This window comes from Homo sapiens, chromosome 9 (genome assembly GCF_000001405.40).
Source record: "Homo sapiens chromosome 9, GRCh38.p14 Primary Assembly".
NCBI classification, from domain to species: Eukaryota; Metazoa; Chordata; class Mammalia; order Primates; family Hominidae; genus Homo; species Homo sapiens.
In genome coordinates, this window is record NC_000009.12 from 84,294,176 (window position 1) to 84,319,233 (window position 25,058).

The 25,058-nt window shown below is 43.7% G+C and overlaps 1 protein-coding gene across 10 annotated transcripts in view, besides 2 other annotated features; it reads right to left on the minus strand.

The window, feature by feature from the left end:
- SLC28A3 (solute carrier family 28 member 3) overlaps positions 1-25,058 on the minus strand; it is a 93,271-nt gene that overhangs the window by 18,719 nt on the left and 49,494 nt on the right. For 5 of the 10 annotated variants that reach the window (XM_011518906.3, XM_011518905.3, XM_047423712.1 and 2 more), the window contains 8 exons: positions 19,184-19,279; positions 16,237-16,412; positions 15,454-15,539; positions 8,025-8,214; positions 5,406-5,550; positions 3,731-3,844; positions 3,046-3,123; positions 20-100 (listed from right to left, as the gene is read on the minus strand). In XM_011518906.3, the coding sequence (XP_011517208.1) occupies positions 20-100; positions 3,046-3,123; positions 3,731-3,844; positions 5,406-5,550; positions 8,025-8,214; positions 15,454-15,539; positions 16,237-16,412; positions 19,184-19,279 (966 nt within the window). Of the gene's footprint in view, positions 1-19; positions 101-3,045; positions 3,124-3,730; positions 3,845-4,667; positions 5,384-5,405; positions 5,551-8,024; positions 8,215-11,078; positions 11,171-15,453; positions 15,540-16,236; positions 16,413-19,183; positions 19,280-25,058 lie in introns of those variants that run through there. The other 5 variants (NM_022127.3, NM_001199633.2, NR_037638.3 and 2 more) reach the window with 4 other exon arrangements.
- Positions 1,927-2,456: an enhancer, noted in NCBI's record as "active region_28504". NCBI's record gives its function as "activates an Ori minimal core promoter by ATAC-STARR-seq in GM12878 lymphoblastoid cells {active_cell/tissue: GM12878}" and the evidence as "EXISTENCE:reporter gene assay evidence [ECO:0000049][PMID:35858748]".
- Positions 7,813-9,012: an enhancer, noted in NCBI's record as "BRD4-independent group 4 enhancer chr9:86916903-86918102 (GRCh37/hg19 assembly coordinates)". NCBI's record gives its function as "activates an origin of replication core promoter dependent on BRD2, P300/CBP, MED14 and CDK7 cofactors, and independent of BRD4, by STARR-seq in HCT116 cells {active_cell/tissue: HCT116}" and the evidence as "EXISTENCE:reporter gene assay evidence [ECO:0000049][PMID:35650434]".

Below are 25,058 nucleotides of genomic sequence, written 5' to 3' on the forward strand. Positions count from 1 at the left end.
TCCCTCCCAGCCCCAGTACCTTTCTAATAATCCACTGCATCAGTCCCAGGTAGTACAGCATGGACATCACAGTGCTGAAGAAAACCACGATCGGCAGGACCTGTGGGGACAGAAACAAACATGGATTAATGATGGGTCCAGCTGCACCAGCAGGTTTTATATCAGGCCTCCTCTCTGTCTCCTTTTCTCCCTCTGAAACATCATAAAAATATGGGAAACTCCTCTTGAACTTTAATCAGGCAGCTTCCCTATCTACAGTCTTTTATTCTAATTTGTCACAGGACTTTGACTTTTTTCCCCTGTCTTCTATGGTGAGCTTTTTTTGCTCAAAGAAGGAATGAAGTTTGGGGGGATTTGTAATACCTAGATCAATACACTGAAGGCTGTCAGAAAATATTCTTGTCCTGGTGCTAAAAAGACATGGGCTTCACCACTAGTTAGCAGAGTAACCTAAGTTGAGATAAATTGTGAGCAACCTCAGAGCCTTATTCTGAGTAGCTGTAGAGATCAGGTAAGGCATGGTAGGTGCTGACACATAGTGCCTCCTACTGGATGGCAGACACACCTGACAGCAATAACTTCAGCATGTCCTGAGAATGACCCTATGGTCTAAGCGTGTGTGTTTGGAGTTCCAAACTAAGGAACCTGGGAGCGGCCATTCCAAAGATTCATTCCTTATCTATAAGGAATATCTGAACCCTTGGCCCATTCCGTGGAAAGCAGGCCATATGGGGGATCCAGGCCCTTTGTTTTGGGTTAAATGAAGGTTGGGAGGTGGAGGTTGCTGGGGGAGGTTACTAAGTGAGAATGCTATATAAACTGCCTGCCTTTTACAAACAGTAGCGGTTCTCCTCTCTAGCCTGCTGCCACTGGACTGCCCTGCATGTGAGTCCCCCTCAATAAACCCTATGTCTCATTTGCTGGCTCCAGGTCTTTTCTTTGGCCGCTCAAACATGGTGCCCCCCCTACTGAAGTCAATAGGGGTCTGTCATGACCTTATGCAGTAAACATTCATTCTTCTAGCTTTTAAAATAATAGTGATTTTACCTATAGATTTTCAAATTACTAAAAAGTGACTGCATTTTGGAAGCTACTTTAGTTCTGTGTTAAAGGCCATTGTATTTTCCAGCTGGGCTCGGTGGCTCACACCTGTAATCCCAGCACTTTGGGATGCTGAGGCGGGCGGATCACCTGAGGTCAGGAGTTTGAGACCAGCCTGGCCAACATGGCGAAACCCTGTCTCTACTAAAAATACAAAAATTAGCCAGGCGTGGTGGCACACTCATGTAATCCCAACTACTGGGGAGGCTGAGGCAGGAGGATTGCTTGAACCTGGGAGGCAGAAGTTGCAGAGCCGAGATTGTGCCATTGCACTCCAGCCTGGATGGCAGAGCAAGAGTCCATCTCACAAAAACAAACAAACAAACAAACAAAACAAACAAACAAAAAACCATTGCATTTTCCTAGATCCTATTTTCCTGATGCTCTTTGGGTGCCTTCAGTGCAGCCAATGTTTCCACAGAGAGCAGTTTCTACCCTGCATAGACCACAAAGAGCTGTGGGCTGGGTCCCTCCTCAGCCTCATCCTACTGTACCCCCTCCCTACTGTTCCCCGGCTAACTGGCCAGAGAAAGCTGCTACCAGAGGCACAGAATGACCGAGGACAATTTGTACAGGATCTAATTTAGAAAAAAATCCATTAATAATATATATTAAAAGACATTTTGTGCCAGTATTCAGAGCTCACTCACGATGAGCCTTTTATTGGCTTTAATGGGTAGGCAGTGCCTTCCTGAAAGCTTGAGGGAGTTAAAGAGGCTCATCTCTGGAATGTTAGCAGAGGATTCTGCATTGGCAGGAAAGAATAGGGGCCACTGCCCTGGAAGAGGGGAGGGGGAAGGCCTGAAAACACCTGTATAGTCTGGGTAGCAAGTTATTCCTTCTTTATGACTTTATTTTTTCCAATTCTGAATTCGTTTCATGATATGAGTATATTTCTATCTCACTCTATAAACATTTGGCCTTTCAGAGATGGCTGAGTTATCTCAGCCCTAAAACATCAAACCAGCTAAACTGCCAGGTAGAGGTTGCTGGGGGAGGGTGCTAAGTGAAATGCTGTATAAACTGCAGGCTTCTTACAAACAGCAGAGGTTCTCTTCTCCAGCCTGCCACTAAACTGCTGGTTTAACGTTTTAGGCTGAATCTTTTTTCAGCCTAAAAGTTGGCCTAACTGAAGCTGGGGTAATTTGGAGGTAAATTTGGAGTCTCTAAGTGAGAAAACAATTTAGAAGTGTATGAATAACAACACACCACAAAAAAAGAAAGCTGAAGGAAAACCCGAATGCATGTTTCTGACTCATTGACAAGTGTTTGTAGGGACTTCCCAGAGGAGGATGGGCTTCCTGGGGCATGTGGGAGCCTCAAGAAGGAACTGACTGTGGCCAGCCATGGGGCCAAGCTGCCTTTCCCCTGTAAAATAATGTTCCTTCTTTAGTTAGGAGAAGGCCTATCCCCTAGTCCTGCCTAGGCAAAGGCTATGCTGAAGGAGAGATGAGAAACGTTTAGCACGGGGATGGCTCTAAAACAGAGGTTGATGTGGTTGACCGGCTGCCCCAAGGACTGGGACTGAGGGGCTTTCGAATACAGAGCTGTCACTGATCCTGGACCCATCAGCCATTCACTGCCACATGCCTACTTGTTGCTGGGAACATAATATTCTTTTCCCTGAAGGCCGAAGGTGCTATTACCCTTTTGATTTTTCCTAAGTATCTCAGATAAAGCTACAAGCCCCATTCCCTAGTATTTGAATAGTTCTGACTTCCTCTAGATGTTTCCCTTAACTCCATAGTAACAAGGTAAAATGCGTGCAGTCCACTAACTTCAGATAACATTGTCAGTGGAAAAGAGCAGTGATGTATTGCACACCTCTGACCAGCGCAGTAGGTATATACCTGGTTTTTGGTCAGTTAAGTTCTATCTGAACATCTACAAAGACAGAAGCCGCTGAAATAGCAGCGACTACATAGAAAAAAGGTTTGACTTTACCTTAAATGCAAAGAAGTGGTCTTTGTATTTCTCACCAAAGACAAATGAAGCACCAGCATCTGTGTACTCCAGAAAAGTCTGAGTTAAAGAAAGAAAAAGAGATTTCATTCCAACCACATGACTGGAAATTAGACAGTGCACAGGAATGCTAGGCTCTCAGAGGACGGACCCAGCAAATGTGTTGGATAGACTTGGAAAGTTAATGTTCTCAGCTTTGCCCCCTCCAATGAATGGTGTAGAAGCATATTTTTGAAATATTCCTGGATACAAATTTCCTGACATTTCTGACATTCAGTCTGACTCTAGAATGCTACAGAATGAGCCAACTGTGGCAATGTGTTGGGAGCCATACATGGCTTGTAGGTGGCATTAGTTAGCACTGGATGCAAAGGAAGCCTGTTTCTCTGTCTGTGGAAACATCTAAGAAGTATGATAGTTCCTGGGGAGGAGGATGTGGGCAATGGATTAGGGAACGATGACATAGGTACAGAACAGCAGTAGTGTTAACAAACCAGACAGACTAACATATTCAACATAAGCAAAACTATTTGTCTAACCCATGATGCAGAATTAAAATTTGAGACAACTCATGCAGACAGATAAACCCATTTCTGACACGTCTTGAGGATTACCTCCAATGTTAAAAGCACCATAAAAGCAAAGTGTTCTTTTGAACCAAACTTACCTGAACTTGTCTGCCCAACCAATCAAAAGCTATAAATCCAGGGTCAGTCCTTAGAATCAAGAGCCCAAGAAGAAACTGTAGCCCGATTCCCCATAAGACAGGTCTCCAGTAAACCTATACAGAAAGATCAAGTGATATGTCTTAGTAGGAAAATTAATGCAGGCCGTGGCATGAATGTCTAATGGATCACTATTTCCTTGAACACACTATCAGATGTGGCCTGTCACCCACCTTCTTTGGGAGGCTACAGCTGTCATAAGCAGAGAACCCTTTGATAGAACCATAACTTAAAAAACTCAGGCCAGGCGCAGTGGCTCATGCCTGTAATCCTAGCACTTTGGGAGGCCAAAATGGGCAGATCACCTGAGCTCAGGAGTTTGAGACCAGCCTGGCCACCATGGCAAAACCCCATCTCTACTAAAAATACAAAAAGAAGCCAGGCGTGGTGGTGAATGCCTGTAATCCCAGCTACTCGGGAGGCTGAGGCAGGAGAGTCACTTGAACACAGGAGGCAAGGATTGCAGTGAGCTGAGATCGCGCCACTTCACTCCAGCCTGGGCAACAGAGCGAGACTCCATCTCAAGAAAAAAACAAAAACAAACTCAGCATTGCATTCCTTCTCCCTAAAACTGAGTTTCAAGTCTTCAGTCCAGGAAAGTATTTAAGTAACCATTATGTCCTGATAAATTACTTGGATAGAAACAGTAGTCTAAGAAGGGCCATTAAAGAAGGCAGAATCTGGCCATCCTAGTCAAGCTGTAAGTACTGGATACATGTAATTATTTCCCCTATCTGGAAAATGGAAAGGCAGAACATGATTTCTCTGTGCGTCCAAGGTTTGTTGATCTGACAACCTGTAAGTGAATTAAGTAAAATATTGCCCTGTCAAGAGGCTCTCATTTCATTGTAAAAGAGACCAATAAACTCAAATGCAGACCCAGGATGTGCAGCAGGAATGGACGATCATTTGCTTTCATCTGTGGTGCAGGGCTGAGTGGCTTCAAAAGAACTATGGCATCGGAGGCATAGACAATGGAGATGTTCCCCTCAGCAGGGCAAAGAACTTGGATCATATTAGTTGAACTTGGTCTCTGATTTGTGTTTTTTTCCTTGGGTCTTGCTTTTAATGGTAAAGTCTTCCAGAGTTTGCCATCTTGAGTTACATATGAGAGATTTGATGTCTCAGAATTCTTGCCCATTTCACGGGTTACCAGTGGACAGAACTAGGATAAGAGTTGAGTTCAATATTAAAAAGAAAATTGTATAAGGACAAATTTTTGGAGTATAAATGCCCAAACTGCATGGGACTTCGATGAACTGCAGGATCCAATGGAGGACTATTAGATTTTTTACTGGTCTGGGGAAATCTGGATCAAAATGGATGAGTTTTCTCTGTGTGTTTGATGGAGGGTATGCGAGAAGAAATTAGACTTGACAGGGAGAGAACGTCTCACTGGTTATGTAACTGGAAAATTACTGAGAATGGAGCATGAAATAGTAACAAACAGTACCATGAAAGTTCAGGAAGATAGGGCACCCTGGTCACGTTAAATAATCCCATCAAGGTAAGAAAAGTACTGAACAATAGTTAAATTCTCTCACAATCAGTATTTTGAGCAATTTACACATGGGGAGAAAAAGAAAAAAGAACCTAAAAGATCAACTGGATACTTACTCTGGTTGGGTACTTGGAAAATAGAAATAACAGGACAATGTACATTATGAGCCCACCGAAGGACACCAGCTGCTGTTGACCCAATTTGGCAGTGTCAAAGGCCAACCAGAAAATAACTGCTAGGACCAGGGAGCTCCAGATCACCCTAAGAGAAGGGGAAAGGAGGCATTGGCATCATTTGTTGTGCTAACTTGAGAATCATAATCAGGCTTAATTTTTTTTTTTTTTGAGAGATGGAGTCTTGCTCTGTTGCCCAGGCTGGAGTAGAATGGAGCGATCTTGGCTCACTGCAACCTCCACTTCCCGGGTTCAAGCAATTCTCCTGCCTCAGCCTCCCCAGTAGCTGGGATTATAGGCATCTGCCACCACCCCTGGCTAATTTTTGTATTTTTAGTAGAGATGGGGTTTCACTATGTTGGCCAGGCTGGTCTTGAACTCCTGAGCTCAGGCGATTGCCCGCCTCGGCCTCCCAAAGTGCTGGGATTACAGGTGCGAGCCACCACTCCCAGCCATCAGGCTTAAATTAACAAAGAAACATAGAAACAAGATGAATATACTCTGGCACCAGTAGGTTGTGCGTTTAGAAACTGCAACAGATTTTTTTGATTGTGGCTATCAAGGCAAATAGCTAAAAAATTAAGTACTGGGTCTCCTTACTCTACAACTCTTGGGCCCTTCACCTGTTCAAGGATGCACAAAGGGGCCAGAGAGGAGATAGCATGTTTGGAGAGGAATGTCTGGTGATTTCTTTAAGAGAGCTACTGGGATTCTTCACCTTTGTTTTGGGGGATGGGTGAGGTGTTACCTGCTTCCATTTAAGGAAGAACTTGGAATATGTTATCTGCCCTTGGGGGACCTCACCAGCGGCCGAGAGGGAGATCAGACGTTAGGGCAAGTTCTGGCTCCTCTGGGGAGCCCAGCAAGCATGACAAATCTGACTCAGGACTCACGGCTTGCACAGCAGAGCCAGAAAGCCTGCAGTGTTGGGATTGCACAAGCCCAGTTTAATAGGCCAAGGATGTGTGAATTTTCCTGGTAGATCCCACGTTAGTCTTGAGGGAGAGAACTGGTCTTGGGTCCTGCTCAGGGGGCCACCTGAAGGGAGAGGAGGTCCCTCAGAGAGAGGCTGAAGGAAAAGCTCTGAGCAGTTGCTGCAGGACACAGGGTCCTATGGGAAAGGGTCTCTCTAACACTTCACAGGCCCTTCCTCCCAAGAAGGCCAGCTTCATATCCATAGCAGGTAGCCAGGCTGATCCTGGCTTTGAGGCTGGCAGGGGAGCAAGTAACAAGGAGAAAGGGGACACTCAGGCCCAGGCTAGGGAGGAAAACTAGGGCACTGGGTCATGTTCACAGTTCTCATTACTGTAGGGGACAGCATATTCTGATGTTAAAAAATATCCATGATGCCTGTATCAAAATATCTCATATACCCCGTAAATATATATACACCTACGACATACCCACAACAATTAAAAATTTAAAAAATAGGCTGGGCACAGTGGCTGACACCTATAATCCCAGCACTTTGGGAGGCTGAGGCAGGAGGATCACTGGAGGCCAGGAGTTCAAGACCAGCCTGAGCAATATGGTGAAACACCCGTCTCTACTAAAAACACAAAAAAATTAGCTGGGTATGGCGGTACATGGGAGGCTGAGCTATTTGGGAGGCTGAGGCACGAGAATCATTTGAACCCAGGAGGCGGAGGTTGCAGTGAGCCAAGATGGTGCCACTGCACTCCAGTCTGGGTGACAGAGCAAGACTCTGTCTCAAAAAAAAAAAAAAAAAAAAAAAAAGAAAAGGCTGTAAACATTGGACTATTACTAAGAGTGTTCAGAAGGGTCATGGGCTTTTGGCAGTTTTATAAAATATAGGGTAGATATCTCCCATTGAATAAAATTGGAAGAATGATGAATGAAAAAAATTAAGTTTTATTTTGACCATAGCCCCATGGGTCATGAAAAAGAGTGCTCAGCCTCCCATGTTCTATGATCCTCATTTTGTAAATAAATTGTAAAGAGAATGGGTACAACTTGTGTAAGAAAAAAAGTTGGTAAAAATAAAAGCTCTTTACAGACACATAATCAGCAATCTCCATCAGTTTGTACTTATAACCCAATTCTTTATTTACAGGTACTGAGATTAGATGGCATTTGTGTTGTTCCCTATCTTGTGCCAGGACAGACATTACTGATTGATCATGGTGCCCTCCCACTGACAGGTCAGAGGGAGAGTGAAAGCCATCCTGCTATGACAAAACTTTCACTCTATCCTATATTTCTAACTACTTCCTAATACGTAGGCATGGAGGTGTCTCTTCCTAATATAGCACATGGAACGTAATATGCTCAACATCTTTTGGACAACATTTTATCATTTAATACACTTGACATTAAGGCAGTTTGTGAGGACATTTGGATACATTTCAAATGAGTCATTGCCTCATCTAGGCTTTGATTTCCTGTTTGTAAAATGAAGACATTGTAACAGATTACTTCCTAGGGTGTTTCTAGCTTCCATATCCCATAAATGAGGAAGCAATTTCAGAACAAATTTTTGAAACGGTGTTGGAAAGGACTACTATCTCTCTTAACTGAAATAAGAGAACCAATTGCATTTACCACTTCAGCCAGAACCAATGGCTGTTTAGAAGCCTTCTGCCAGGAGACAGCATCTCATCAATTCGATGTTCGTATTTGGCCATCAGGTGATCCCAGACAACAAAGAAGATGGCAGCCACGGTGATCACAAAAAGAGGAAGGGCTCTGTGAAAGTTCAGCACACAGGCCGAAATCACCATAACCAGATAACCTGTCCAGGAAGCAAAAACAGACACTGAACATCACTAACCACTGGGACACGCCTCCAGGCTCCAGCCTTGTTCTGGCGCAGGTGAGGGGAGGTTTAATATCATTAAATATCACTGAATGCAGGAGTGCTCTTGATATGGCTACTGGCTTCTTTGATGGGGTCTTTTGATATTTTTCAAAGCAAGTCTCAAAAATTACCACCATGAATGCTAGGAGGACAGGGTGCTAGGTATTTTTATTCTTACAGGACCTTCTGAGTTCTTGAATCTTGATGCTCAATCATTGGGCCTCTAAGTACTGGCCATTTTTACCACTGGCATTCAGTCTCGGCAGGTGAGCTACTATCAGAGAAAGGCCGAGTGTTGAAGTGACGACTGGCAAAGAGGTACTGATTCTTGGGGTTTGCAGTTCAGATTTGGCCTAAATTTGAGTGAAGGAATAGACCTACCAACAACAGACTACTTCTCTAAGTGACACAGAGTCTCTAAGGAAAAGAGGTAGGGGCAATTACCAAGCTGGCTGCTTTTGAAGAGCAGATTCTAGGATAAGAATAAGGTTTCCTATTCTTAAAGGTCTGCAAAGATGTTCTGCAGGTTAAATCTGGCCTGCCACTTGTTTTTGCAGGTGGCAAGAACGTTTATATTTGTGTGTTTTGAGAAATAAAAATAAAGTCCTAAGTCACCCAACCAACTGAACCGAGCCTGTCTTGGCCAAGGGGATCCCAGAAAAACCTTAAAAACTGAGTTCCCAACCATGACAGGATGGGAGGTCAGATGTGCCTCAGTATGCCCCTTCCTTATTAACCTTTAACCAGAATTCCTTCCTAAGGAGTCAGCAGAAACTAGCTCTGGAAAACAAGAAATGGAAGACTCATTTCTCTATCGCCTTTAGCCAATCATCTGAGGTGGTGACCAGACTCCCTCTCCCTCTTTAGAGTTTTTGTTTGTTTGATATGGAGTTTTGCTCTTGTTGCCCAGGATAAAGTGCAATGGTGCGATCTCGGCTCACTGCAACCTCCACCTCCCAGGTTCAAGTGATTCTCCTGCCTTAGCCTCCTGAGTACCTGGGATTACAGGCATGTGCCACCACGCCCGGTTAATTTTGTATTTTTAGTAGAGACGGGGTTTCACCATGTTGGTTAGGCTGGTCTTGAACTCTTGACCTCAGGTGATCCACCCACCTCGGCCTCCAAAAGTGCTGGGATTATAGGCATTAGCCACCGTGCCCTGCCTCTTTAGAATTTTGACGTGACAGCTCACCAGTTTTACAAGGCATTTCCTCTTGATATGAGACCGCTGACTCTGGAGTGGTTCTGGCCAGTCTTGGAGGATGCACAGTGAGGGTTTTTGTGTTCTTTGCTTTACCTTTTGACTTCACAGGGCTGAAAACTCCACCCTCAGGTCATGGTAACACTGCTATTTTTTAATACACATGCTCCATAAAGAGGCACAAATCTCAATTGTGCATGTGCATGTGTCTCCTTTCATAAATATTCATGACTCCCCCTATAGCTTATTGAATACTTATGCTTAGCCAATCCTTTCAGCATAAATTCCTGTCTTATTCTTCCCTCCCTCAAAGTACTTGTTTCTGGCTTCTGTTGGAGACTACGCTTCCCAGCTTGTCAGAATGGCCACCTTGCAGGCTGCAACCCTTTATGACTTTCCTTTCCAAATGTTTGAACCTCGTGATTGATTCTTCAGTTGACAGTTTGTATGTGTGTTCTAGAAATAAAGTTGTTTTGGAATACAGCCATGTCTGTCTACTTATGTATTGTTTATGGTTGCTTTGTTACTACAGTGGCAGAATGGCATGGTTTTGACCTTATGTCTGAAATACTGAAAAGCCTAAAATACTATCTGGCCCAGTACTCAGAAAGCTCACCAACCCTACTGTTCCCTATTCCAACTGTCTGAGCACCAGCAAAACTGCTGACCTTGGCTGTGCAGCAGCCTGGGATTAATGTCTGTGGTTTGGATCAGGGTGCTTACGTTTTATAGACAGGAGTGTTCTTTAAAATGGGCCAAGTTCAGTGTGCTCAGCTTCAAGAAAAACAAAAAATAACAGTACAACAAAAAAAAAAAACAAAAACAAACCAAAACAAAAAACAAATAAAGTGAGCCAAGGAGCTCTTTGTTTTGGAGGGAGTAAAAACAGGAGACATTCTTGTCCTGCCTTCAGGCAAGCGAGTGGGCTAGATGGCCCTAGGCTACTCATGTTGTATTCATATAAAGCATTAATCACTTGTGTTTTCTGGATTTGTGTAAACCAACACACCTCCTCAAATCCACCTGACAATAACAAAGGCTATAAGAATGAGGAGAGTAAGTGAGTCCAAAAATTAGCTGCTGGGCCCGGCACAGTGGATCACGCTTGTAATCCCAGTACTTTGGGAGGCCAAGGCGGGCAAATCACCTGAGGTCAGGAGTTCGAGACCAGCCCGGCCAACACAGTGAAACCCTGTCTCTACTAAAAATACAAAAATTAGCCGGGTGTGGTGACGTGTGCCTGTAATCCCAGCTACTCAGGAGGCTGAGGCAGGAGAATCACTTGAACCCGGGAGGCAGAGGTTGCAGTGAGCTGAGATGGCGCCATTGCACTCCAGCCTGGAAGACAGAGCTAGACTCCATCTCAAAGAAAAACAAAATTAGCTTCTGGCCTCATAAACGGGGTAGGGAAACAATTTGCATAGGCTTCCCCTATAAAGGGCTTCTTGATTTACTTCTCTACCACCCCCGATGATTCAGTGAGGTCCCAGAGAAAATAAAGGTTTAATCTTTTTCCACATAAAGTTAATATTTGGGGGAATCCCTGAAAAAAAAAAAAAAAAAGACAGTGGTATCCCTAACCATCTTTGTTATTTACCTGCTAATAAAATGCCCCAGATGATGTGCCGAAGAGTTGTTTTGTGTTTCCTACAGAAACCACATACTGTGTCATACCTCCTTTCCAAACACCTGCAACATAAAAGCAAAAAGGCAGGGAGAAGTAAACACCAAAAACATGAAATAAACTGCATGGTGAGGCTAGATTAAGCTTTGTAAACTAAGAAGGCAAACAAACACATGTGTGAGGCGTATGTCTTACAAAATAGAAATGGGAAACTCATTTCATTTTAGACTAGAGTCAGCCATGATCATGACCATTCAGTGATCACCATCATTGAATAAGTGTGCCAAGCCCTGAGGGATTAGAGAGGTGCAGACAACATGCTCCTGGGAACAGAGCAGGGGAGATGGATATCTAACCAAAGCTGAAATAGTCACAGGAAGAGAGTGTTTCTGGCACACTATGAGATCCTCTGTTAGCTTTTAACCAATGTTTATTACGTGTTTATTGTTAGAAAATAAAAAGCCAAGGAACTCTGTCATCCCTCTTGGTTTGGCAAAGTTTGAGCAAGTTGGTGGTGCTCTGTCCCCCATCACCATCCCCGTTAGTCCAAAACTGATGGACCTCATGGGGTGTGCTTAAAATGCAAAGTAGGATTTCCTGGATGTTAGGGCTATTAACCAATGGGTTGTCACAGCTTTCTCAGAAAGCTCTGGAGTTGTTGGAATGTCTTTATTTCCATCCAGGGCTTTGTTATGGGCTGGGTGGGTAGTGTGTGAGTAATGTGTAGGTTGGGTCATGTCTTCGGAGGAGGATCGTGTCCAGCAGTTCCCCAGGAGTGAGCTGGGAGGCCAGGGTCATAGCCACATGGCTCTCCTCTCCTTCTTTGGGGATCTTCTCGTTCCTGTGTGATGCCTCTTTCTTTGGAGGCCTCTCCTTCTCCCACTTGAGTCTGGGTGGAAGGAACTTCTTGCATATTTCCCCATTGTCCCCTCCAGGCCACGGGATAGCACTTCTAAAAATGACCATTTCTCCTCCCGTATAGATGATTCCCAAACTCCAGGACCTCAAAGGATGTGGCCCCAAGCTGGGAGACCTGCACTCCCCTTGGCCAGTGCCTCCACTACCCCGCCTTCCAACAGTCTCGCCTGCACCTCCAAGTCAGCTTCCTCTCAAGCTTTGGGGCACAGCTCAAGCTTTTGACTTCTAAAAAGTCTTCTTGCATTTTCTCAGACAGATACATGCCTCTGAACTTTATTCTTACTGTCTTCTTTGATTGTGTTTTGTTATGAACCCATTACTGACCCATTCCAGTAGCAGGAAATATTGGTTATTTGGTTAATAACCAGTCTTTTGGTTATCTAGGCTGAATAATTCCCAACCCATTAACCTTAGTGAAACCTGAGTGCCTGTGACCACACAAGAGAACTTCTCAGTCCCCCAGGGCCAGAGACCCTGGAGAACAGATGTCTATGAGCCATACAGCACTATGAGTAGAACGTTGGATATTAAGGATGTTCAACAGACATGTATTGATTGATAGATGAATGAAATGGGAGTAAATATTGCTTATCTGAAACAGTATTTTACAGCTCTGAGTTGGGGATGCATTAGCGGGTTATGAAGCCCACATAGTAACCACTATTAAAATAGAAGGAGGCCAGGTGTGGTGGCTCATGCCTGTAATCCTAGCACTTTGAGAGGCCAAAGTAGAAGGATTATTTGAGCCCAGGAGTTTCAGACCAGCCTGGGAAACACAGTGAGACCTTGTCTCTACAAAAAAAAAAAAAAAAAAAAAAAAAAGCTTCGTGTGATGGCACAAACCTGTGGTCCCAGCTGCATGGGAAAATCACTTGAGCCCGAGCGGTCAAGGCTGCAGTGAGCTGTAATTGTGTCACTGCACCCCGTCTCAACCAAAAAAAAAAAAAAAAGGCCAGGCGCGGTGGCTCAAGCCTGTAATCTCAGCACTTTGGGAGGCCAAGGCGGGTGGATCAACTGAGGTCAGGAATTTGAGGCCAGCCTGGCCAACATGGTGAAACCCTGTCTCTACTAAAAATACAAAAATTAGCCGGGTGTGGTGGCACAGGCCTGTAATCCCAGCTACTCGGGAGGCTAAGGCAGGAGAATCGCTTGAATCTAGGAGGCGGAGGTTGCAGTGAGCCAAAATTGCGCCATTGGATTCCAGCCTGGGAGACAGAGCGAGACTCCATCTCAAAAAAAAAAAAAAACAAAAACAAAAACAAAAAGAAAGAATAAAAATATCAAAAGTATCATAGTGTATCATTCATACATAAGAACAATAGGTATCACTTCATGAAATGTTCATCATTATGTATGTGTGTGAATATGTATACTGAGAGTTAGAAACAGTGCTCTCTAGAAAATATTGGGTGAATAAAAGTGTAGTGAAGACATTTTTTCACGGTCTGATTTAGGAAAGGCTAATGATGTATTATTCTCAGTTGAAGATATATTAAGAAGCAGCAGCAGCAGAGGGTGACATTTAATAGGGTACATTCACATACTGTAGGTTGACTCTATCAGGTTCTTTAATTGCAGGGAATGTGTGTAGTCCATTGTGGCAATCTGACTTCTGCATAAAGCAGAGTAGCTGAAAGTAGACACTTTGGTCATTTGGTTATCTAGGCTGAATAATTCCCAACCTCCTGATGGCTGTTTCAGTCTCATTAACATTAGTGAAACCTGAGTACCTCTGACCACCCAAGAGAATTTCTCAGTACCTCCGGGTCAGAGACTCATAAAGTAAAATGAAGGATAAAACTTTGCTATGTTTCTGATATGGTAAATATTTGGGATGATGTATATGTGACAAGAGCTGCCAACCCTAATTCTGGCCAACTCCAGAGATATCTTCTGATACATATAACAAAGTTCCTCCTGTAGTCCCAGCTACTTGCGAGGCTGAGGTGGGAGGATCACCTGAGCCCAGGAGGTCGAGGCTGCAGTGAGCTTGACAGATCTCATGACAGGGCCTTGCTCTGTTGCCCAGGCTGGACAGAATAGATTTAAATTAAAATATATTTCTGGCCGGGCGTGGTGGCTCACACCTGTAATCCTGGCACTTTGGGAGGCTGAGGCAAGCAGACCACCTGAGGTCAGGAGTTCAAGACCAGCCTGGCCAACATGGTGAAACCCTGTCTCTACTAAAAATGCAAAAATTAGCCGGGCACGATGGTGCATGCCTGTAATCCCAGCTACTCGGGAGGCTGAGGCAGGATAATTGCTTGAACCCGGGAGATGGAGGTTTCAGTGAGCTGAGATTGTGCCACTGCACTCCAGCCTGGGCAACAGAGCAAGACTCCATCTCAAAAAAAAAATTTAAAATCTATTTCTAGATTTAAAATTAGCACCACTGAACTCCAGCCTATGCAACAGAGTAAGCCCCTGCCTCTAAAAAAGAAAAAAGAAAAATTTCCTCAGAGACATAGGAATGCAAATCAAATTTAAGTAGGAATATAGAAGATGGACAAATACTGTAGTGTTATGATAGGTGGCAGACAATCCTGGACTAGGAATCAGAAGCTGAAATTGTGACCTAATTCTCTTCCTCTCCTAGTTGACTTGGGGAAGTCACTTCTCTGAGGTTCATTTTTCTGGTCCAAAAAATAAAGATACTAATCTTGCGTCTCCTACCTTACGGAGTTGTAAGAACTTGGAATACTTTGAGGCTATTACAAGGTAAGAGAAACCGTTTGTTGGGATTTAAAGTGGATTGGGTTTTGAGCGATCAATTGCTATTGATTGACATTGAGAAGATGAATTAACTGCATTCGTATGGACTGGAGCAATTATTTGGTAATTTACACTTTTAATTAGAAGACTGTCCTGGGTGAATTTAAATCTGCATATTGGGTTCCCAGAACATCAGCAGTTTGAATTGGCCACATTGATCATCTTAAAGCTTCATTAATTTTTCTGGAAGGGGTGTTGGGTAGGGAGGGTAGATGGATGGGTGGTGACAATCTCTAATAAATTATAATAAGTGTTAAAAATCAAATGGGAGGCCTGGTGCCATGGCTCATGCTTGTAATCCCAACACTTTGGGAGGTCGAGGTGGGTGGATCATTTGAGGTCAGGAGTTCGAGACCAGCCTGGCCAACATGGTGAAACCCAGCCTCTACTAAAAATACAAAAATTAGCCAGGCGTGGTGGCATGCGCCTGTAGTCCCAGCTACTCGGGAGGCTCAAATGGGAGAATCGCTTGAACTTGGGAGGCGGAGGTTGCAATGAGCCGAGATCACATCACTGCACTCCAGCCTGGGTGACAAAGTGAGACTCTTATCTCAAAAAAAAAAAAAAAAAAAAAAAAAGAAATCAAATGGGGATAAAACAAAGTAATAAAACCAAACGGGAGGTAGGCTTGGTTATTTCCCTGTTTTAAAGACTGTACCCTTTTTGTTGCATCTCCTCATCATCATCCTCCATGTGTTCTCTGTTTCTTGGAGAATCCTGCTCAACTGTGACCTGTTCTTCATCCTGGAAATCAAACATTGGAGCAGAGATGGAATAATGAGCATCCTGGGCATAATGGACCCTGGTTTCATTGCTCAGAACTCGGGCAAAGAACTTTCAATAGGTCCTTTTAAATTATTATGCAAGAAGATGGCTCCTATTATCTACTGCACAGACATTTTTTTTCCCGGCTTATAATCTCACACAAAAAATGCCAGGTTCATACTGAACTCTTCCTTTCCTTCCAAAGGAGCTGTTGGTATTTTCTCCTTTTCTTAAGGGAACAGGCTCATATTTGTGCTTTTTGCTCCTGTCTCTCTTGTAATCAACCAACCCCATCTCTGTTTTCAGCCAAGTACTAAATGAAGTTAATACCAGGAGCTGCATAAATCTCCCCTAGTACTCTGCCAGCCCCGGTTTCCAAATGACTGAGACCAAAGCTGGATTTATTTCCCCGGCAGCCCAAGGCTTGGTCTGTGAATATGAACACTAGCTTGGCACCTTCAAGAGCCAATAAGCCTCCCCTTGGGAACTAGGATCCTTTTATCAGTTGGGCTAAAGGGGACTATTTCCCTTACTCAGCTAGCCCTTGCTCTAATTAATTGAGTGTAGGATATCTCTGACCCATCCCATTTTTTCATGGACAATCTTTCTAGGTACAGTTTGAGCTCTCAAATATCCATGACCCATCCTATTTCCAGGATGGCAGAGGATTTCCTACCTGTCTCCAGTCTCCAATAATGTCTCAAATAATAAGCCTGGCTCTTGTAACCAATGGTACAGAAGCTGGTGGGGGAGGAAATAGATGGAGGTGGAGCAGTTTGAGTGTGCTCTAAGAAGTATAATGTCAAATCTCAGCACTTGTCTTCTGTCATATCCAATGTGGCCTTTGATTCTCTTTAACAGAAATCATAGAAATAAATCATTAGTGTGTGTCTGAGATGAAAGAATTCTCAAAAATCCTATAATTCCACGAGGCCAAACTCCATTGTTCTTCTGATTCAGATTACCTTCATTTTCTGGGCTGGACCCTAGGAACAAGGAAGGTGTGAGGATAATTGTAAGAGAGACCAGCTGAGTCCAAGCTGCAGCTTCTGAGGAAGGGCTGGAGTTGAGTCTTATTTATTTATTTCTATCTAATTCCCAGCTTAGCCAATAGTCAATGTTTGGTAAATATTTGATTTAAATGGTCATCATTATTATTTTCTTGCAGTGAAAGTACCCCAAGTTACCTGCTATCTATGGTATATCTAACATTACTATTGTTGGCTCTTATTTTTCCATCTTTTCTCATGTTTTAAAAACAACAACTACAAATCTCCCTTGACTCCCACAATCATGGGACATCTGCACCGCTCTTTCCTTTCACAGCCAGGCCGCTGGAGAGAGTTGTGTTTACTCTTTGGAGGTCACTTCCTCACACCCTGCCCACTTCTCTACCCACTGTGATTGTGCTTCTGCTGAATGCATCCTGCCAATGTCACCCAAGGCCCATTGCTATCAAATCCAGTAGCTACTCCTCAGCCTTCATATCCTCATTTATAATTGAAAAATATCTAAATTTTTGTTTTTATGAAAAAAATATTTTAAAAATATTTTTAAAAGAGCAGTTTTAAGTTCACAGCAAAATGGAGCTGAAACTATAGAGATTTTTCATGTATTGTCTACCCACCCTCACCTTCCCCACTATCAAATGAACCCAGAGAAGTACATTTGTTACAACTGAGGAGCCTACATGGACACATCACCATCACCCAAAGTCTGCAGTGAGACTCTCTTGGTCTTGTACATTCTATGGGTTTGGACGCATGTATGATGGCATGTATCCACCATTGTAGTATCAGGCATACTAGTTTCATGGCCCTAAAAATCTTCTTATGGCCAGGCGTGGTCACTCATGCCTGTAATCCCAGCACTTTGGGAGGCCAAGGCAGGCGGATCACAAGGTCAGGAGATCAAGACCATCCTGGCCAACATGGTGAAACCCCGTCTCTACTAAAAATACAAAAAAAAAAATTAGCTGGGCACAGTGACGGGTGCCGGTAATCCCAACTACACGGGAGGCTGAGGCAGGAGAATCACCTGAACCCGGGAGGTGGAGACTGCAGTGAGCTGAGATTGTGCCACTGCACTCCAGCCTGCTGACAGAGCGAGATTCCATCTCAAAAAAACAAAAAACCCCACACTTCTTATTTGTCCCTACCACCCCCTGATGCCTTGAAAGCACTATTTACTGTCTCCATAGTTTTGCATTTTCCAGAATGTCGTATAGTTGGGATCGCACAATAGGTAGCCATTTTAGATTGGCTTCTTTTACCCAGTAATGTACATTTAAGGCTCCTTCATGTCTTTTCATGGCTTGATAGTTCATTTCTTTTTAGCGCTGAAAGACACTGCATGTCTGAATGTACCACAGTTTATTTATTCATTCACCTACTGAAGGACATTTTGGTTACTTCCAAGTGTTGGCAATTACAAATAAAGCTGCTCTAAACATCCATGTGTAGGTTTTTATGTGGACATAAGTATTGTTTTCTTTTTTGTTTGTTGAAGAATACTTAGTGAACATTTTTTACAATCAATTAAGCAAAATAGACAGTTACCAAACACTGTACTATGCATGGTATGATTCCAATACAGATGACATATGCATGTGGGTGTATGTTTGCATTAAAAAAGGCTGTGTTCCAAAATGTTAGGCACTGACTTTTTTTCTTGAATTATAAGCCTTTTTTGGTTTTCCAAATTTTGCTACAATAAGTTTTCCAAATTGTCTACTTTAAAAAAAAGTGATTCTTTTACCACGAGAAAACTCCTCACAAAATGACACACTAGTGGGCACCCCAAATTCCTTTTTTTTTTTTTTTTTTGAGAATCTCGCTCTGTCGCCCAGGCTGGAGTACAGTGGTGCCATCTCGGCTCACTGCAACCTCTACCTCCTGGGTTCAAGTGATTCTCCTGCCTCAGCCTCCAGAGTAGCTGGGATTACAGGCACACGCCACCACGCCCAGCTAATTTTTGTATTTTTAGTAGAGATGGGTTTTCACCATGTTGGCCAGGCTGGTCTTGAACTCCTGACCTCAAGTGATCCGCCCACCTCAGCCTCCCAAAGTGCTGGGATTACAGGCATAAGCCACCGTGCCCGGCCCTGAATTACCTTTTAAGGGGTGACCTACATGGGTAATTTGTTCACCTTTTTGGCAACAGGAAGCCATCTTTAAATAAACTCCTGTCCAGAATTCAACATGTAAGTGAAATTAAGCAAGAGTCCCTCGGACTGGTATAAAGCTACTAAGGAATGCGAGTGCATGATGGACCCAGATTCAGAACCATAGTAGAGGGTTCCTCTTGTTTCTGTCATTTACGTTAAAGCTCAGATGCTTTTGTCTAAGCCAATGCCTTTTTCCTTGAGATGGAGCTTGGAACTCCTAATAGTGAAGTGATGCTTCCCATCAGGGAACTCTGAGGACAGGTGGATAAAAACAAAATCTCTTTGTTTGGGCGTGTGTGTTTTCTTTACGACTATGCCCCCACACACTTTAATTACCACTTAATCTGTTCCTCTGCGTGCCAGTGGGGCGCCATGCTTTCTGTGCCCACTGTTCTCAGGTGCCTGTTGCGCAGCGGCTGCCATGGTACTAGAGTCATGCACCACAGTCTTGCTGTACCTGTTTGGTGTTTGTGTGCTCCCTGCTTTGCACAGCTCTGCTTCTTATTGAGTTGTTTCCTGATGTGTTCTCGTTCTCAAGAAAGTTTTCTTCATTCTAAGAAAAAAGTGCAGATTGAAAAAATAAAAAGTTACAGCCAAAAGACAGATGTTCTTTCATGAAAAATACCTAGAGGAATTTGGAGGATGAGACAAACAAAGATTAGGTGTTCAGATGAAGCATCCGATTCAACAAACAGCTGACAAATCCTGGGCTTGTAAAGAAACAGATGATCGGCTGGGCACAGTGGTTCGTACCTGTAATCCCAGCATGATGGGAGGCCGAAGTGGGAGGGGAGACCAGCCTGGGCAAAATCCTGTGTCTACTAAAAATATAAAAATTAGCTGGGCGTGGTGTTGTGCACCTATAATCCCAGCTACTTGGGAGGCTGAGGTAGGAGAATTGCTTGAGCCCCAGAGGCAGATCATGCCACTGCACTCCAGCCTGGGAGACACAGCAAGACTCTACCTGAAAAAAAAAAAAAAGAAAAGAAAAGAAAGTAAAGAAAAGAAACATATGACTTTTGCTTTGTTTTGTTCTGATACAAAAGTGGTCCAGGGGAAGAGAGGAATGAGGACAATTGCCCTCATCTCGGCCTGATAACTTTCCAATAGGCAGAGCTGGGACCAGGGGCAGGTTTCCACTCTCCTTTCTATCACATCACACTGATTTTCAACTTATAAAATGAACTAAAACGTGGTAAACCATAGGCTGAATAGCCTTATTCTTAGATGTTAGATTTACGAAATGTTGAAATGGGTTTTTTTTGGTTTAAAGCAATCTCTGGCAGTAATGGTCATAAGAAAAATGCCCTTTTTTGTGTGTGTGTGAGGCTGTCTTGATTTTACTTTAAGGAACTGAACGAGATTTGCTCTTATAGGGCCGTCCGGACCCCTCAGCTGCTGTTTCCAGAAGTGACAAACACTGGACCTGTCTCCTGTCTCTTTTATCTTTTTTGAGGTATCTAATATTTCTCCCATCTCATTTCAACTTGCCGTTTTCTAGAGTGAGGTAATGGATAAATGGTGTCAGGAAATGCCTTCTGTTAGCCCAACGACTATGACTGCATCTTCAAAGACCAAGTGTATGACTCTAATTTTAACTTAGATCTCTGACTGGCCCCAGGAATCCAGCAAATATTGCAATTCCAAGTTGTATTGCATTTTCTACTTACTGAAACACAAGAATGAATAAACATGAAAAAAAAGTTACAGTACAAGATTCATGCATCAAAGTATTGTGCCATACTTCCTTTTTTGTTACAGTTGCTTATATCCTACAGTTCTTTGCATATAGCAGACACTAACAATGTTTTGAATTAATGACCCACAGTAATTTTAATGTTGCATTAGCACAGCAATGTAGTACCCTTGGGTTCTTGGTATAAAAATACAGCATGGGCTGGGTGTGGTGGCTGACGCCCGTAATCCCAGCACTTTGGGAGGCCAAGGTGGGCGGATCACGAGGTCAGGAGATTGAGACCATCCTGGCTAACATGGTGAAACCCCGTCTCTACTAAAAATACAAACATTAGCTGGGCGTGGTGGCAGGTGCTTGTAATCCCAACTACTTGGGAGGCTGAGGCAGGAGAATTGCTTGAACCTGGGAGGCAGAGGTTGCAGTGAGCTGAGATCACACCACTCTGCACTCCAGCCTGGGCGACAGAGCGAGACTCAGTCTCAAAAAACAAACAAACAAACAGCATGAAAAGAAAAAATATACATAGTATGGGAAGATGACAGAATGTTGCTAATTGCTGAAGTTGGCTGACAGGTACCCGGAGAATCATTTTATTATTCTCCTACTTTGGTGGATGCTAAAATGTTCCTTAATACTAAGTTAAAAATAAAACCAAACATGAATTGGTGGAGTAACAGAACACAGGTCACTGAGGGGCTAGTCCTTAGGGTCCCTACTGAGCAGGCCACATTCTCTCAAGCCTTAACTCCCTCATTCATACAACACAGTTTGGATTTGGGGTTCTTGCGGATCCTTACGGAATCCTGACATTTTCTAATTCTATTAGGAGATTCAGCTTCTTGACGTTGATTCCTCCTGCCACCTGGTGGCAGGATCTGAAAACTACTGGTGGAACACGGGTGGATCCTACGTTTTTAAAGTTAATGAAAGTGGAAGGTGTGTGTGTTGAGGGATAGAGTGGGCACTCCTTTAAGTGGCAACAAGAGCACGTGTGGTTTTGTTCTCCACTGTGTAATAGTCTTATTTGGCCCCCAACAGAGTATACGCCTTGGCCTTTTAGTATTTTCTGGAAGAACAATATCTCCCACTTGAGGATTTCCAACAGAATTAGTGGGGTTATTGTGGATATTGACTGGTACCTGGAAAATGACCATTAAGACAACTGTCTTTCTTCTTCTTTTTAAATTAGAGTCGTGGGGCTGTGATATGGGGCCCCAGATAATGTCTTAGCTCAATGTTTCTTTCCATTTATTTAGCAACTCACATTACTAAATACCTTTGCACACTTAACGCCCTACAACCACGACTGCGTTCTCATGGTAAAATCTATCCCTCTGTTGAATGTGTAAGAAAGGTGAGGGAATTGCATTGTGAGTATGTCTAGGCCGTTTACAGCTTACACATTTAATTTCTCTAGTTAGTTTTAGTTGTTAGGTGTGCTAAAAGATGAGGGTCCTGATTGAGCCCCCTTTGAAGGGACAGCCTAGTAACCAGGAGTACATTGTGCCTGGGGTTTGTTTCCCACCATTTCTTTGATCTTGCACTTTCTATGTGGCTATTAGAGGGAGGCAGAGATGGACAGAGGCATTTTTATTTTCTTCCTTTCATTCACTTTCTAAACCATATAATAACTTCTAGAACACTGGAAATTTCTAAAATGACTCCCCTATTTGTGGTATCCCTTTTCAAAGAATGTTAGCTGACACATGGTCACCTAGGAAAAAGATTACATATCCAAGCTTCCCTTGCAACTAAGTTCTGGCAACGAAATGAAAGTAGAAAGGGTGCCCTGTTGGGGGCAGCTCGGGGAATGTTCCGCCAGGGATGGCTGGCAGGTGCACTTGTTCCTTTTTGTCATTTCCTCTGTCTTGCTGCCCAGTGTGAGGATGGTTCCAACTGGACCATGGATACAAGGCCCACATCCTTGTGATGTCAGGGTGCTGAGTTGGGAGGAACTTGGGTCCCTGGAAGCCTTGAGCAGGAGGCTCACCCCGGCTCTGTACCATCCACCTCAACTTTATTGGGATGAAACTAACTTTTCTCTTGTTACTTTTGGTTTTTGCTTTTATTTTGCACCAAATGATACAGTATTTAGTAGGCAGGAGACACTGTGTAAAACTCTTGTCTGGGCGTGGTGGCTTATGCCTGTAATCCCAGCACATTGGGAGGCCAAGGCGGGCGGATGATGAGGTCAGGTGTTCGAGACCAGCCTGGCCAATATGGTAACACCTCGTCTCTACTAAAAATACAAAAGTTAGCTGGGCGTGGTGGCGGGCACCTGTAGTCCCAGCTACTTGGGAGGCTGAGGCAGAAGAATCGCTTGAACCAGGGAAGTGGAGGTTGCAATGAGCCAAGATCGTACCAGTGCACTCCAGCCCGGGCGACAGAGCAAGACTCCGTCTCAAAACAACAACAACAACAACAACAACAACAACTCCAAGAGGCCTATGAGGTGGGTACCATGATCCACATTTTCACAGATGAGGAAACTGAGGCAAAGATAAGTAAATCACTTGACTTGGGTTGTGTAGCCAGAAATGGCTGGGGTAGAATCTCAGCCCAGACTGTCCCTCCCCAGACCATCTTGTGCCTATAGAGGAGTGATTCTTTGGGCCTGGTGAAGATCAAAAGACACAGTAGTGTGCCTAGGAATTAAATTCCGTTTGGAAATTAGAACTTAGAAAGCCTGATTTGAACTCCAGATATTAAAAGACAAAGGTATAAATTATAGAAGTGTTGAAAGTTCCAGAGAAGCTTGTGGCCACTTTTAGCTACACCTAGGCTCTGTGGTCATTTCTCAAGCCACAATAGTGGTCTTCCTGCCCTGTACGCTGGTTTTAAGTGGAATATATCCTTTGAGTAACATGGGTGGGGACTCCTGCCTCTGTGGACATGTCTTGTCATCATGGCTGGTTTGACATTCTTCAGCCTCTCCCTGGCACTGTGCTGTAATCACACAGCCTGGCTTCCATTTCTCAGTTCTTGTGGTGGGGGTTTTTCTGCTGCAGAGGTACCACCACTGTGCTAGGAGAGCCTTTCTTCACTATAGAATTTGCTCTGGCCTGGTTGCCAGAGCAAATTGCATGAGTGGTCTTGCACTCATTCAGTGGTCTTGCTTCTTGTGGGAATGGAGGCAGTACCTACCTAACAAAGTTGGGTGGCTCCATCCAGTGGCACACATAGTAAGTGCTCATTGACTATTAAGTTAATTTCATGGTTTAGTTTGCTTCTCGCTTGTTCTGGGGCATTTACAGTCGTGTTGTCCTCTGTATTTGAAATTAGACTTATCAAAATCAACATCTGTTTGGTGAATCTGATCTCTCAAAATTGTTTGGGATCATACCCCACTTCAACTCTTTTTTTACTCTTACCATCTACCAATGTCAAATGTTTTAAGGCCCTTTCTCTAAATGTTATTCTTCGACTGCATGGATTTTGCCTAGGAATGATTGCATTTTCAAAGACTGTATTTTAGAAGTCCTTGATCGTTATCTATTGGTCTTGACTCACTTGGTTCATGTAACTTTCTGGCTCAAGTCTCGGGTGTGCATAATCCTTAGTGTGAGTTAATGGGCACTAGCTAGACCATTCCCCAGAGATGTTCTTGTTTTACCTGCCTGCCTGTGTGGGTTTAGAGGCCAGGTAAGGAGCAGCAGTACCTGTGGCAAGAGACCCAGTGGGCAGCCTGGGGCTCACTGTTACCTTTCAATGCTGAGGGATCTTTGGATTGGGTGCAAGAAGTCAAGTCTCTGTATGCTGCTGTGAGTGGCTGTAACACTAGCAATGTCTATGGCTTCAGAACACTGTTAACATTCTTCCCTTGGGAACTTTGTGAGCCAGGAGGCAGAGGAAACCCATATGTATGGGAATGTCAGGGAAAGGGGAAAGAGAGGGAGTGCTGTACCCGAAGGAGAAAACTTAAAGGAAGGTTTATAATAAGAGTTTTAAGAAAGTTTAAACATGTGAGTCCTCATAGAATATGGTTTCCAGGCCGGGCGTGGTGACTCACCCCTGTAATCCCAGCACTTTGGAAGGCTGAGGAGGTTGGATCGCCTGAGGTCAGGAGTTTGAGATCAGCCTGACCAATATGATGAAACCCCATCTCTACTAAAAATACAAAAATTAGCCGGGCGTGGTGGCCTGTGCCTGTAATCCCAGCTACTCGGGAGGGTGAGACAGGAGAATCTCTTGAATCTGGGAGGCGGAGGTTGCAGTGAGCTGAGATTGTGCCATTGCACTCCAGCCTGGGCAACAAAAGTGAAACCCTGTCTCAGAAAAAAAAAAAAGAAAAAGGAATATGGTTTCCATGAGCTTTCTTGAAGAAACTGCTAGAGGAAGAAGCCATACAAATGATAAACGGAGAAATTATGAAAAAAAGAGAGTTAGTACATTTTGAATCTATTTGATAATAAAATCTAAGATGATTCCAGGGATTATGATTCTAGAACAAATTATAAACATTATGTCCTCTGCCAAAGTAGAAAAAATCATTAGAAGGCTACTTGAAGGGGAAGGAAAAGAAAACGTAGGAGGTAGGATAAGTAGGCCAATTTCCTACTTCAGGTCACGCTGGGCCCTCTTCCCTACTGCAATAGTTTATTACTCACTGAAATCCATCTTCATCACTTTAATGAGT